This window comes from Homo sapiens, chromosome 4 (assembly GCF_000001405.40).
Source record: "Homo sapiens chromosome 4, GRCh38.p14 Primary Assembly".
NCBI classification, from domain to species: Eukaryota; Metazoa; Chordata; class Mammalia; order Primates; family Hominidae; genus Homo; species Homo sapiens.
The window spans coordinates 175939200-175955571 of NC_000004.12; the positions used below are offsets into that span (position 1 = coordinate 175939200).

Sequence of the window (16372 nt, forward strand, 5' to 3'; positions counted from 1 at the left end):
AAGACCCAGTATTGTTCCAGCAAATACAATAAATACTACTCAGCTGCTGCAGGGCCAAAGAGCCCTGAGGGGGTAAAACAATAGGCAAGCTCGTGTAGCAGTCTTCAAATCTTTGTCTACAGTTTCATTCCTGGAGTATTTAGAACTGTGAATAATTTAGTAATCTGTACACTTCCTGATGTAAAATCTGTTATCTGAATTAAGAGATTTTTGTATCTCTTAAAGCAGTACAGCTACATTTAATAGAATTATGCTTTCCTGGCTGATTTACATTTGCTGCCAGACAAGTTAAAAGTACTAAATAAAAATCCAATAAATACATCTTCCCCAATTAAAGAGAGGCCACTCTTCACCAATTTAAATGGCAATTAAATAGTTCACTAATTTTATAGCTGTTTCAGTTAACAACATAATATAACCATTATATGTGTCCATTAACTGTAATATAAGCCTACCAGATGGAAAAAGTCAGAAGAAAATTCAGCTAGAAGTTAAAATGTATTTTGTAATAAACTACATATGAATGAATGTATATGGTGACCTAGAACTAGGATATGATGACTTTCAACAGAAGCAACAAGAAAAAGTTAAATCCTAATAGCAGGAAATTTTTCAAGTTTTTATTTTGCATTTATCTGCTTCACTCTTAATAAGCAAAAAAAAAAACCTGACATTTGGCAATCATAAGTTTTTCCATAAGCACAAATAGAACCATAGCGCCTGGTTCCAGACTACATATAATATTTCTGAGAAAATGCATACATGCCATGAAGATCTTAACATGCCAGTTAAGGAAGAAACAGAGAAACATAAATAGTGATTAAATAGTGATGCAGTAGTTCATTTATTATTTTATAATACAAATATATTTTGTATCAGGACTGGTTTTACCAATGAAATTAAAAATGCCTGGTAGACTAGCAATAATAAAATAGGTAAGGTGACTTGGAGTCAGGGGAGTCATAAAAGCACCGTACATTGATTCTTTTTGAAAATGTGTGTATCTTCTCATGTTAGCCAACGTAAATATGATTCAGATATGTTTGGGAGCAGCATCACAACAATCTACAATAAAAATTACTTTTAACAGTCTCACAGAAAACTTACCTATAGGTTTGGGAAGTGTTATACTGTAATTTTATGAGAAAAATAATGCATTTTTTAGTTTATTATCAAATATTTTACTTAGGCAGAAAGATAGTAAAATATATTTTATTTAAGAATAGTAATAATAGCACTATCATATTAATCAAAATGCAAAGAAAAGTTTAAAAATTTCTAATACTCTAAAAGTTCTATTGTTGATTAAAAATTTGTTGATATTTCATTTATAACAGCTGCTCTGCTATGAAATTATAGTAAAAGTGAATAGAAATACCTATAACATTTTTTATATCTTCTTTATTTCTTCTCCCACGTCCCCCCGAGATGGAGTGTCACTCTGTCGCCCAGGCTGGAGAGTGCAGTGGTGCGATCTCGGCTCACTGCAACCTCCGCCTCCTAGATTCAAGCGATTCTCCTGCCTCAGCCTCCTGAGTAGATGGGATTACAGGCACATGCCACCACACCCAGCTAATTTTTGTATTCTTAGTAGAGACAGGGTTTGCCCATGTTGGCCAGGCTAGTCTCGAACTCTTGACCTTGTGATCCGCCAGCCTCAGCTTCCCAAAGTGCTGGGATTACAGGCGTGAGCCACTGTGCCCAGGTATATCTTCTTTAACTACGTTGGCACAGTTAAGTTAGAAATACTGAAATAGGAGCTAAAAAGCCAGATTAAACTCTGGCTGGTCTTCCATTTCATGGCAGGATGTTGGGAGAAATTACTAGTGTCCCTGGCGTACAGGAGCTTAACAAACATTAAGAAATACTGTTTTTTACTAAGTGATATAAAAGATTCTTCAGACTTTCAACACAGGGAATTTTAATGTTTATTTTATCCATAGTTTGGAAAATGTGAGTGCTCAAATACTGGTTTCTGGCTCAACTGCTTAGTCACAGAAATCTAACAATTTCGGTTTCTAAATAATGAACATCATTTTAATAATGTTTTTGGAGAGAAAAAATTGTTAAATGCATATTAATTAATATGTTAGGGATAATACTAGAGACGTCTCATTTGTAATAAGCCTTCATCTTTTAAAAAAAATTTATTAGTTATTTTAACATCAATCCACTTTAGAAGCTTATTTTCTTTTTTAAAAAAATTATACTTTAAGTTCTGTGATACATGTGTAGAACATGCAGGTTTGTCACATAGGTATACACATGCCATGGTGGTTTGCTGCACCCATCAACCTGTCATCTACATTAGGTATTTCTCCAAATGCTATCCCTCCCCTAACCCCACCACCTCCCGCAACAGGCCCTGGTGTGTGATGTTCCCCTCTCTGTGTCCATGTGTTCTCATTGTTCAATTCCCCCTTATGAGTGAGAACATGCAGTGTTTGGTTTTCTGTTCCTGTGTTAGTTTGCTGAGAATGATGGTTTCATCCATGTCCCTGCAAAGGACATGAACTCATCTTTTTTATGGCTGCATAGTATTCAATGGTGTACATGTGCCACATTTTCTTTATCCAGTCTGTCACTGATGGGCATTTGGGTTGGTTCCAAGTCTTTGCTATTGTGAACAGTGCGGCAATAAACATACGTGTGCATGTTTATAGAAGAATGATTTATAATCCTTTGGGTATATACCCAGTAATGGGATTTCTGGGTCAAAGGTATTTCTGGTTCTAGATCCTAGAGGAATTGCCACACTGTCTTCCACAACGGTTGAACTAATTTACACTCCCAACAACAATGTAAAAGTGTTTCTATTTCTCCACATCTTCTCCAGCATCTGTTGTTTCCTGACATTTTAATGATCACCATTCTAACTGGCGTGAGATGGTATCTCATTGTGGTTTTGATTTGCATTTCTCTAATGACCAGTGATGATGAGCTTTTTTAAATATGTTTGTTGGCCACATAAATGTCTTCTTTTGAGAAGTGTATGTTCTTATCCTTTACCCACTTTTTGATGGGGTTGTTTTTTTCTTCTAAATTTGTTTCAGTTCCTTGTAGATTCTGGATATTATTCCTTTGTCAGATGGAGAGATGGCAAAAATTTTCTCCCATTCTGTAGGTTGCCTGTTCACTCTGATGATAGTTTCTTTTGCTGTGCAGAAGCTCTTTAGTTTAATTAGCTCCCATTTGCCAGTTTTGGCTTTTGTTGCCATTGCTTTTGGTGTTTTAGTCATGAAGTATTTGCCCATGCCTATGTCCTGAATGGTATTGCCTAGGTTTTCTTCTAGAGTTCTTGAGGTTTTAGGTCTTATGTTTAAGTCTTTAATCCATCTTCAGTTAATTTTTGTATAAGGTGTAAGGAAGGGGTCCAGTTTCAGTTTTCTGCGTATGGCTAGCCAGTTTTCCCAACACCATTTATTAAATAGGGAATCCACTCCCCATTGCTTGTTTTTTGTCAGGTTTTTCAAAGATCAGATGGTTGTAGAAGTGTGGCGTTATTTCTGAGGGCTCTGTTCTGTTCCGTTGGTCTATATATCTGTTTTGGTACCAGTACCATGCTATTTTGGTTACTGTAGCCTTGTAGTATAGTTTGAAGTCAGGTAGCGTGATGCCTCCAGCTTTGATCTTTTTGCTTAGGATTGTCTTGGCTGTACAGGTTCTTTTTTTGTACTATATGAAATTTAAAGTAGTTTTTTTTTCTAATTCTGTGAAGAAAGTTAATGGTATCTTGATGGAGATAGCATTGAATCTATAAATTACTTTGGGCAGTTTGGCCATTTTCACTATATAGATTCTTCCTATCCATTAACATGGAGTGTTTTTCCATTTGTTTGTGTCCTCTCTTATTTCCTTGAGAAGTGGTTTGTAGTTCTCCTTAAAGAGCTTCTTCACATCCCTTGTAAGCTGTATTCCTAGGTATTGTATTCTCTTTGTAGCAATTGTGAATGGGAGCTCACTCATGATTTGGCTCTCTGTTTGTCTGTCATTGGTGTATATGAATGCTTGTGATTTTTGTACATTGATTTTGTATCCTGAGACTTTGCTGAAGTTGCTTATCAGCTTAAGGAGATTTGGGCTGAGACAATGGGGTTTTCTAAATATGCAATCATGTCATCTGCAAAGAGACAATTTGACTTCCTCTATTCCTATTTGAATACCTTTTATTTCTTTCTCTTACCTGATTGCCCTGGCCAGAACTTCCAATACTATTCTTGAATAGGAGTGGTGTGAGAGGATATGCCTGTCTTGTGCCGGTTTTCAAAGGGAATGCTTCCAGCTTTTGCCCATTCAGAATGATATTGGCTGTGAGTTTCTCATAAGTAGCTCTTATTATTTTGAGATACATTCCATCAGTATCTAGTTTATTCAAAGATTTTAGCATGAAGAGATGTTGAATTTTATCGAAGGCCTTTTCTGCATCCATTGAGATAATCATGTGGTTTTTGTCATTGGTTCTGTTTATGTGATGGATGATGTGTATTGATTTGCATATGTTTAACCAGCCTTACATCCCAGGGATGAAGCCAATGTGATTGTGGTGGATAAGCTTTTTGATGTGCTGCTGGATTCGGTTTGCCAGTATTTTATTGAGGGTTTTCGCATCGATGTTCATCAGGGATATTGGCCTGAGATTTTCTTTGTTTGTTGTGTCTCTGCCAGGTTTTGGTACGAGGATGATGCCGGCCTCATAAAATGAGTTAGAGAGGAGTCCCTCTTTTTCTATTGTTTGGAACAGTTTTAGAAAGAATGGTACCAGCTCCTCTTTGTACCTCTGGTAGAATTCGGATATGAATCTGTCTGGTCCTGGGCTTTTTTTGGTTGGCAGGCTATTAATTACTGCCTCAATTTCAGAACTTGTTATTGGTCTATTCATGGATTTGACTTCTTCCTGGTTTAGTCTTGAGAGCAATGTTCAGAAATTTAACCATTTCTAGAAGCTTATTTTCATTTCGATAACAAGTAGCAGACAATAATAGATTTAAAATTATGTACCAATGTCTTTTTCATTATATGTGGTAATAAAGTGCCAAAAAACAAGCTACAAGCTGTTTGTGGCCTAAGATATGCAAAGAATTAATTTTTGTGCTGGCATATACTGTAATTAGAAATTGTTCTGTGCATCATGATTAAACCAGTAACTATGGTAACGAGAGCAGGAAAGCATGAGTGCAAAAGGAAACAGCCCGAGTAAGTCAGGGATAAGCTGCATTTCATCTTTCTTTTTAAGTGTTTGTAATAAACAGAACTATCTATAAAATGCATACTGATTTTTATTCCAATTCTTATCATTCATTTACATAGATTAAAATACATTATTCCTTGAACATATACACACACGTACAAGACAGAACAGACACAGATTATTACCACATATGGAGAGCATACAGCTCTTAACAGTATTATCAGGGGAATACCATTACAATCTCTGCACATCTCCCTCATTTTCATAGGGCTGTATGAAGAAAATGACGGAGCAGAACACTCAAGTAAGAAATCTACAGTTTCTGGCTTTTGCCTTTTGGCCACAAATTTTCAGCAAAACTGCTTGACTCTTAGTGGCATGGACGACAAATTCAGATTAGCAGGCAACAGACATGAATACAAAGGAAACCAGCGCAACACTATTCCTAATAATGCGTTTTGTAGGCTTTACCGACTGCAGTCTTCAACAGACATAAATACAGACGTCTCAGTTTCAGAGACCTCGAATCATTAGTCTTCATGTACATTTTTTTGTTTTTTGTTTTTTGTTTTTTCGGTCCCCAAACCATCAAGTGGTATGAGAAATAATTAGAGCAGTTTCAAAGGAGAAGATCAGTCAAAACTGATTAAAGGTTTAAAAAGTAAGCCTTTTGAGAAAAGGGTGTTTTTTAAAAAAAATTATTCATTGAGGCTAGAAAAGACTCTGTGACGAAGCCAAGTACGTGAGTGTGAACAGCAATTATCTCACTACGGAAAACAAAGCAGAATGAAACAATATAAATTTCAGAAAAACAATCTTAATTTCTGGAATAACTTCTTACTGTACAGATATAAGAAACTGCACGTATCACTAGATAAGCTGTGTAATCTAATTGAATTTATTAAAGGAGATGAACAAGCATCATGTTCTTGTTTAGTACAAACAAATATTTAATTTAGTGTTTCCATAGTAGAGTTTCTCTATAAAGAATTGTAAAACTTTTTAAAACCCCATCTGAAACAGAAATAAATACCACCTGGTATCACTTATAAGTGGGAACTAAGTAATACGCACCCATATTACTCAGTTGTAAATAATACACACCCATATTACTTAGTTGTAAGTAATACACACCCATATTACTTAGTTGTAAGTAATACGCACCCATATTACTTAGTTGTAAGTAATACGCACCCATATTACTTAGTTGTAATATAACTTATAAGAAACATGTTATATAAGTTGCAAGTAATATAACTTATAAGTAATATAAGTTATAATATATGTTATAAGTAATATAACTTATATTACTTGTAAGTTATATTACTTATAATTAAGTAATACGGGTGCATATTACTTACAACTCAGTAATACGGGTGCATATTACATACAACTCAGTAATACGGGTGCATATTACGTACAACTCAGTAATACGGGTGCATATTACGTACAACTCAGTAATACGGGTGCATATTACGTACAACTCAGTAATACGGGTGCATATTACGTACAACTAAGTAATACGGGTGCATATTACTTATAACTAAGTAATACGGGTGCATATTACTTAGTTCCCACATATAAGTAATGGACATAGAGAGTGAAATAATAGACACTGGAGACTTAGAAGACTAAATGTGTAATGTACGCTATTTGGATGCTAGTTACATTAGAAGCCCAGACTTCACCACTATGCAGTATATCCACGTAACAAAACAGTACTTGTACCCCCTAAATCTATAAAAAATCTATAAATTTATAAAAATTAAAAAAATTAAACTTCATTCGAATGTAAAGTTAATGAGGAAGTTAAATTATTTCAAAGATTACAAATTGAGTATCAACTAAGACAAGGCACCAAAAACAACTGAGTGTTTCAGGAAAATTTTTAAACAAATAACACTGATTAGTTAATGTTCCTATCATCTTCCATTCATTTATTCATTGTGCCAACCAATATCAAGCACCTGCCTTGTGTGAAGCACTGTTCTAGGGTCTGGGTCACAATCATGAAAAGATGCATAAATCTCTGTGTCATGTAGCTTCCATTCTTCTAAGGGAGACAGACAAAAACTAGTAGAAAATAAATTACACTATTTAGATGATGGTAAGAGTTCTGGAGTGAATAAATGGGTGATGTGATGAAGATGAACTGTCAAAGCCTACTTTTCTAGGTGGGTCAGGGAAGACGTTTTTGAGGCAGGTGGTCCATAGAAGCCAGCGATGTGAGGCAGAGCATGTCAAGAACAGGGAACCGCAAGCACAGCTGTGGAGTGTCCGAGGGATAAAGATGGCAGCAGCCCAAGCACTGTGGGCAAGGGCAGGGCAGGACGATGCCAGGCTACAGAGGTGGGCAGAGGACAGACAATTGGGGCCTGGTAGAGCATTCTGGGGCTTGGATTTTTAAAATGCCTTTATCCTACCATCACATTTCAGTGTTTCTGATTTGGGGAGTGATTTATAAGAAAGGTGCCTTTAAGAAAAACCAAAATATGCTTATTCACGCACAACTTCTGCTCAACTTCCTGAGAGGAAGCCAAAACTGGAGATTACTGCTGTACTGGAAGCCAGATCAAAAAAGAAAGCAAAATCATTTAAGAGCCTGCATTTGAAAATGCTTCATTTATAGGATGAAATGAAGTGTGTGTGGCTTTCTTATTGCTTTCTTCAAGCCTAGATATATTAATCATCATCTTCATTAAAATCCATTTGATGCCATAAAAGGACCAAATAATTTTCTTTCTAATTTTCAGAAACTGAGTGCTGTTATATAATTTTAAAATCTAACTACAGAGTCTTTAAAAAAAAAAAAACACTAGCTCGAATTTCCTCAATAATTCTGGCTATTCGTTTTTCAATTCTTATGTGTTTATTTTCCATTTGAACATTTAGCATTAGAAAATCTTCCTGTGATTTCCACAGCAACCACTAGAGGGAAAACTTCGACTGAAGAAAGTCATTTAAAGACACTATCTTAATAATATTTCTTAAGTACAATATTAAGTATAATATTTCTTAAGTCTAATATTCTTAAGAATAATATTTAAGTCTAACATTCTTAAGAATAATATTTATTAAGTGTAATATTCTTAAGAATAATATTTCTTAAGTCTGAAGAACTCAAAAATAATGATGTCTTCAAGATAAAATATTATAAAAGCACATCATAAATCCCACATGCATTTTCAAGTTATTCCTGATAATAATGAGCATTTGTGTTGTAATACGTATTCTGCAAATGTTCTTGCATTCATTACCTCATTTGTTTCTCCAGATGAATGGCTAATAGAGCAGGAACTATGATCACTCAGCTAAAATAAAAAAACACAAATAATTTAACCAAAGACACCCGACATTTTAATTGCACAATCAATATTACTACTGAGGGCTGAGTATATTTTTCAAGTACACTATGTTGTCTCCTCACTACTTTTTTCAAAGAAAATATGAAAATATTGTGTTCTCAATTTCCTCATCATATTCTAGATTTTTTAGTAAAATACCTAGAACACAGTAGGCACTTGATAATTAGTGAATGTATGCATGCATTCATATATGAATAAAAAGATGAATGAAGGAACAAAGCCCTACTTTTTTTCTATGCAACACTATATGCCAACATAGCACCTAGCAATAGCAATAGCAATAGCAATAGCAATGTGTTTTCCAAACACATCCCATTTCAGAGTTAGTAAATGCAGAGGACACCTGAAGATAATACTTGCAGCTTAATAAGTGCTACAGAGAGGACATGTTTTTGTGATTTTTTGCTCCAATATTATGATACCCTCATGTTATAGACAGGATGTGTCCCCCTGAAAGTTCACATGTTGAAATCCTAACCCTCAAAGTGATGGTATTAAGAGGTGAGACCTTTGGGAGGTAATTAGGTCATGAGGGTGGAGCTCTCATAAATAGAATTAGTTTCCATAAGAAAAGACATGAGAGAAATGATTTTTCTTTCCTTCATAGAAGAATACAATGAGAAGATGGCCATCTGTGGGCCGGGAGGAGGGCCCTCGCTGAGAACCTGACCATGCTCACACCCTGGTTTTGGACCCCCAGCATCCAGAACTCTGAGAAATAAAGGTTTGTTGATTAAGCCCCACAGTCTATTGTATTGTGTTACAGCAGTCCAAACTAAGATGCCACATCTGATTCTACCTCCTTTACATTGTTTGACTTTTGAATATTTGAACTCTAAAATTATGATCAATCCATCAAACTTTATATAATTCATTATCGTAACTCAAAAACACAAATATATCATATGGGTTAATACAACCACATAAGAAATCAGAAAATGCTAACTGGAAGTGAGAAGAATTATAATTGTGATTCTGTCTTTTCCTTCTGCAGGAATCCTGAAACACTGGCCACAAAGTTATGCTATGGACTCATGCCCCTACGCAGTAAAATAACAATGTTAATACTAACTTACTATCAATTGTTACTAGATTGAGCAAAGAACAATCATTAAAATGCCATAGATCCTTGAAAACAAGCAATAATTTCCTGATAAAGATGAGATACTTTTCTTATTCTACCAACAAGACTGCATTTGGTGGTAAGTGTGTGTGTGTGTGTGTGTGTGTGTGTGTGTGTGTTGGGGGGATGTGGTGGAGGGATGAGGTAGATTTGGATATCTCTTTTCCCACAGTTGAATTCCCTTCCATGCAACTAAGAAATCAAAAAAAGCTCCTAAAATGAGTAGCTAACTTAAACATTCACAAAATATTTTTAAAAGAAATACTCAGAAATATCAAAAGGAGTTATCCATGGGTAGTGTGATAAGAAGTAATTTTAATGTTCTTTTTATGTTTTTATGTAATTTCTCATTTGTTTGCAATGAAAATATGTATATCCTTTTTTAACAATTGGGAAAGTTTTTTCACTAAAAGTCAAGTTTGTTTATTTTTGTTGTTGTTTTTGGTGGTGGTGGTAGAGACAGGGTCTCATGGCTGTGTTGCCCAGGCTAGTCTTGAACTCCTGGCTTTGAACTCTTAACTGCAAGTGATCCTCCTGCCTCAGCCTCCCGAAGTGCTAGGATTACAGACCTTAACCACAACACCTGACCAAAAGTCAAAGTAATATAAATTTTACATTACATCTTAAAATCATCATTAACTGTGTTTGGCATATATTTTATGTAAAACAAATATGAGTTTGTTTGATTTTTTATCTAAGAAACTAAATAATCAAGGGCTGTTAAGCTGAACCATAGCTAATACTCCTTGCATCTTCTTATCAAGAGCTAACTTTAGTAAAGATTCCTTCAAATCAGTAAATAAATGAGGTTGTCTTTGGCTGATACTTTCAGAGTCCTCAGAAGTTTGATTTTAAACTCATGAAAAAGATAAAGCTGAACCGACAGGCTTTACAGTCTTGTTCATTCTTCACATTTAGTACATTCCTTGAATAGATGGTATTGTCAACAGCTTGTTTAAAAATTGTCTGATATCTGCGCTAAGTTGTTTGGATGACAATTCATGAAACCAAATAGAAAATAAACACTGTAGCCTTATGAGTTCTCACCACATATTTTCAATAAATTTTACAAGTTCATGAGTGAAGAAAGATAAAGTTCTTAGTAATCAGACAATGTATAAACACCAATGGATCACAAACATTTTTGTAAAGAAAATAAAGTAAGGACACCCTCAAAAAATCCTAAAAGCACACAAAGTTCTCCATTAAGAAAGCAATTCATTTTGCAATGAATATAAAGGGAAACAAAATTATATACACTTTGACAAAGTTAATATATTTCTTTCTACTGTATTGTGATATTTTAAGAACTCTATGGCCCATCCAAATGCAGATGTGTAGTTACATCATTAGAAAAGAATAAATAAAACTTTATTAGCTATGGGTCTAACAGAGTCTCAATGAGACATAATAGATGTTTATTTTTATTCAATTTTTTTACATTATTTTAATGGCTTTATTAATTAAAATAATTACAAAAGTGCCATTGATTCCTAAGACAAGACATTCCAAGCACATAATATGTTCTATACAACTGGATATAATTTTGAAATGTGAAAATAAGAATATAATACTTGTGAATTATTTCCAACTTTCAACAAAACTTAAATATTCCAGGTTTAACCATGACTTTCCAGGAAAGGAATTGCAAGATGATGTCTGGTTATTGAAACGTGCTTCAAAAGTGGAAAAAAGTAGCTTTGGGGGAGTTTTTACATTTAACTTTACTCTCAAAAGAACCTAGGACAATCTGCTGCAGTCAACAGATTGGGCAGTGCTATTTTTTGCTGTGCCTGAGTGTGCTGGCAGGGGAAATGAGGGGACAAAGTCCTCACTTACATTTAGAGAAATGTATTATTTTCATGAAAGTATTTTTAAATGACACACAATAGTTCTAAATGTCATGATATTTCTTGTCACCTTAAATGATTAATAGCAAGAATTCTATTATTCCTACAGAAATTATCAGCCATAATTTCAACAATGTTAATTTCTGAATTATCAAAAATATTTAGTTGAGTAAGAAAGTAGAGCTCTGAAACTAAAAATACTTACAGGAGCAGAGATAATACTAAATGTTAAAATATAGTATTTGTAAGACTTTTTTTTTTCTCCCATGAATATTTAGAAAGCCTTTTTGGTTATTTCAGGCTTCTGTTATACTGAATGCCACCCATTCCAAGTGACCACTGGGAAAGGGAATTTCATCTCTGCAACCTAGAAATTACTACTCTTAAATACAACACGTCGATAAATAATTGGAAAGCTTCATCTATCATCCTGCCTACTGAACTCCCCATGGAATGAAAAACGTCACCTTCTCAAGATGCTTATCTGCCCAACTGACCCTGTAACAAGCCATTTTTCTTTATAAATAGTATTTCATGTGAAAATACTACTTTTAGTAGGAAAAATGGGTGGAAGAACCATACATTATGATTTTTTAAATCTGTGGATATAGAAGTGAAGATGGAGATAAAACAGTAAAAATAGATATTGATTCCCATGATGTCCATATGATTAGGCCATGAACAGACAGAAAAGGAAAGAGAGAGGATAGAGTTGGACAAGCACTGGCCTATAAGTCCGAAATTTCTGGATTCCATCCTCATTACCTCTGACGGCGAAATAATCTCTTGAGGCTTCAGTGTCCTTAACTAAAAATGAGGGGAATACCATCTACCTTGAAAGGCTGTTGAAGCAATGAGGCTTTAGGCATTTAAAGCAACTAGAATACGCACAGTTAATAAGTAATAGCTAATAAGAAATATGAATGAATTGCAACAATTTTCTGAAAAAATATCTGGATTTATCCCAGAATTATATAGCTTTATACAAGTCAAGGCTTCTTCACATTTATATTACCTGGGTAGTTAATGGTATTGGTTAATGCGGAGCGTGTTTGTGAATGAGATAAGACTTAAACTGGTAAACTTTTCATAAGCAGATTGCCCTGCATAATGAGGTGGGCCCCATTCAATCACTTGAAGGCCTGAATAGAAAAAAAAAGACCAGCTTCTCTGAACAAGAGGGAATTCTCCAGCAGTCTACCTTCCAACTTTCCCTACACCATCGGCTCTCCTGGGCTTGCAGCCTGCTGGCAGCCATGCTGCAGACTTTGGACTCACCAGCCTCCATAATCATGTGAGTCAATTCCTTATGATAAATCTCCTTCCACACAGACACACATTCTGCTGATTCTCTTTCTCTGCAGAACCATGACTAATACAGTGATATTACAAGGCCCAGGTGACCAAATATCTCAGAGACAAGTAACTAAAACAAATACCTCAGAGACAAGTAACTAAACTTTCCTTTTCAAGAGTCAAAAATCTGTTTGACTCTTGAGAGTCTTTGACTTTTGAGAACATTCTTTTATGTTTGAAATATTCAAGTTAAGATACTATATTCCTTAAGAAGCTAGGAGAAGTTCGTTTCTATGTACACTTCAAAGCTAGATGTCCAAGGAGTCTAGTGGAGTTCTAAGCTGCATAATGGATTCCCATGATGGATTGTAGCTTAAGGTAGTGATCTCAGAATGGATGTCCCCAAAGCAATGGAATTAACATATTATTCAGTTATTTTCCCAGTTGCCCATTGTAACAAGGAGCGGAGGCTACAGTACCTCCACCTTCTTAGGGTAAGGATTGTTGTAAGAAAAAATTTTAAATTCTTCCATTTAAGCAACATGTAACTAGGAATATTAGAAAGCATTAATCCATTCACTCATTCCAGAGATATTTTTGTGTACATCTTTCCTGAAAATTTTTGTAATACATTTTGTCCCAGAGCCCACAAAATCATATAATAAAATAGATAATGAGCCATCCTGTCCACCAATGAGTCCAGTCCTGGTGTATTACAATGCCCAAAGAAAGCAGAAATCCGGTGGGGGCATGGGAACTTGGGCCTGTAATCTCAGCACTTTGGGAGGCTGAGATGGGAGGATCCCTTGAGCCCCACAGTTCAAGACCAGCCTGAGCAACATGGCAAAACCCCATTTCCACTAAAAATATAAAAATTTGCTAGGCATGGTGGCGCATGACTGTGGTCCTGACTACTTGGGATTGCTTGACCCCAGTGGGTAGAGGCTGCAGTGAGCCAAGATCACACTACTGCTCTCCAGTGTGGGCGACAGAACAAGACCCTGTTTTTAAAAAAAAAAAAAAAAGGAGAGAAAAAGAAAAGAAAAACAGAAATCCCCTTGCCTTAAAAGTTAAATAATGGGAATGTTCTACTTTGATTCAAGAATAGAGCATGCATGCATTCTACATATCTAAAATCCTAAATTTTATAAAACAAATAAAGAAATCAAAGGGCAGGGAAATTTTATTCTATATCAAACTGTTCCAAGAATTTGATAGTTTTTGAAGCTGAAAAACCTATAAATACACTGTGTTGGAACCTCGGCTGTATCATGACAATTTTCCACAGAGAAGTAGTCTAAGGGAAAGTAATTTGTGTAATAGATGTGAAAATGACTCCGGAAATAGCATTTGCAGACCTAAACTGTATCCATTTTAAGATATGTAGTACAAAGAATTAGGAAGAATGCACTTTCTAACCACAAAAAGAGTAGCCAATTGCCTGTAAAGCAGTGTATGGCAGGGATTTAATTGATATTTGCATGTCATTATTTTTAGTTAATATAGTATTATTGCTTTGTTTATTATGACACATTACACAACTTTGAGTTCTGCAGGACACATGGCAGACTTATAATGTATATAAAAACTACCATGGAGGTCGGGCGCAGTGGCTCACACCTGCAATTCCAGCACTTTGGGAGGCCGAGGTGGGCGGATCACCTAAGGTCGGGATCGAGACCAGCCTGACCAACATGGAGAAACCCCGTCTCTACTAAAAATACAAAATTAGTCAGGCATGGTGGCACATGCCTGTAGTCCCAGCTACTTCGGAGGCTGTGGCAGGAGAATTGCTTGAACCCGGGAGGTGGGGGTTGTGATGAGCCGAGATCGTGCCATTGCACTCCAGCCTGGGCAACAAGAGCAAAACTCCATATCAAAAAATAAAATAAAATAAAATAACTACCATGGGAACTATTAAAATTGAGTTAGAAATGTTAACCCAGTTGGTTTAAAAAACATCTTTTTTTTACAGTCCTGAGAAATGCTGACAGCACTGATCACTGGGTGATAGAAATTTGTTCAATTACATGTCCTTAGCTTTTCTTCCTGGCCCGCTCTATACCTTGACTTTTCCTAGAGGGCAGTATAGTCTAGGGCTGAGCTGTCTGAGAAGGTAGACACTAGTCACATGTGGCTATTTCAATTTGAATAAACTAAAATTAGATGAAATGTAAATGCCTTTGCTCAGTTGTGCTGTTCACAATCCAGGTGCTCAACAGTCACTTGTGGCTAAGGCTCTGGTATTGTACAACAGAGATCTAGAACGTTTTCATCATCTCCATGAGTTCTACTGGACAGCACAGCTCTAGTGGCTAAGGGTGTGGCCCCCGTGGCTAGGTTGTATCAGTGCGAAACCCGGCTCAAGCACTTTAGAACTGTGTAAGCTTAAATGAGTTTCCTTGTCTTTCTGTGCCCCAGTTTCCTCACCTGAAAAATGAAAACACTATTAGAGTTTTAATTAAAATGTGTAGAGTACTGAGGACAGTGGCTAGCAAATAATATATACCACACTGAGTTTTGTCTATCATTTTTCCACCCGAAGAGTCAAGCCAAAGCAAAAGTCTTAAGAGGTCTAAAGAGGAGTGAATCTGAGATGATGAGTTAGACCATCTCTGGAGAGACAATGGAAGTCATCATTTCTGTTTTCCTTTCAGTGAGGTTGCACCCGTGTCTTAGCCTTTGTAGTCCAGCTACATCCCTTTCACAGGGCCTCATATCTGTCTTTTCCATGGGTCTTAAACATGATTTGGACTTGGAGTATTTTCTACATATCTAGGGCAAGAGTAGAACTTTACCCTGGCTGCCTGATGGCAAACAGCCAAACCTTGTAGTAATGGAACAAAAGAGAGATAGCCAGGGACTACAGTAAATTAACAGCAGTGCTGAGAAGGTACTACAGGCGCTGTGAGGGCCTAATAATACTTAAGTCAAAGGACCAGACAATGACCTCAAACACAGATAAAACACCCTGTGTCTACTTGAGAATCCAAAACAAATTCCATGATTTTTCGTAAGAGTCCTGAGAAGTAGAGATGAATCACCCTATTCTCCAAAACACAATACCTGGAAGAAAAGTCCCTTGGCCTTCGCCACATAGATAATCCATGGCTGGACGAAGCCTGCACTTGACCTCTGGACTTTTCAAGCCAGTGCTGGAGATGAGAAGCAATTCCATCTGTTCCAACAAGCCCACATACCACACCTGTTACTGGGGTCCATGGGAGAAAGGAAAATCTAGTAAGTTCATTTGAAGGGGTAGCTTATTTCAATATGCGGTGTCCTTTGCTTTATTCAACAAATATTCAATAGCAAATATAGAATATGTTTACAAAAATAGAAAATGGTAGACTATGGAACCAGGAAACTCACATTTAAATCCCAGCTGCATAAGTTTCTAGCTTAAATACTCACTTCTTGGGATTTTAGTAGGACTGGAACAAGCTAATACATGTAAAGCATTAAAAATAGTGTCCAGTATGTATCACATGTTCAAATACAATGTTAGCTATCATATATTTTCATCAGTACAGAGGTAAGACAAAATCTT

At 35.9% G+C, this 16372-nt stretch overlaps 1 protein-coding gene and 1 long non-coding RNA gene across 5 annotated transcripts in view; both read right to left on the reverse strand.

Moving 5' to 3' along the window:
- The window catches only part of GPM6A (glycoprotein M6A), a 369457-nt gene that overhangs the window by 306263 nt on the left and 46822 nt on the right, over nucleotides 1–16372 (reverse strand). The window lies entirely within an intron of this gene.
- Nucleotides 1–16372, reverse strand: part of LOC107984113 (uncharacterized) — a 59731-nt gene that overhangs the window by 37274 nt on the left and 6085 nt on the right. Inside the window, exon 3 of the long non-coding RNA XR_001741924.3 lies at nucleotides 8446–8499. This is a non-coding gene — a long non-coding RNA (uncharacterized LOC107984113). The remainder of the gene's footprint in view (nucleotides 1–8445; nucleotides 8500–16372) is intronic.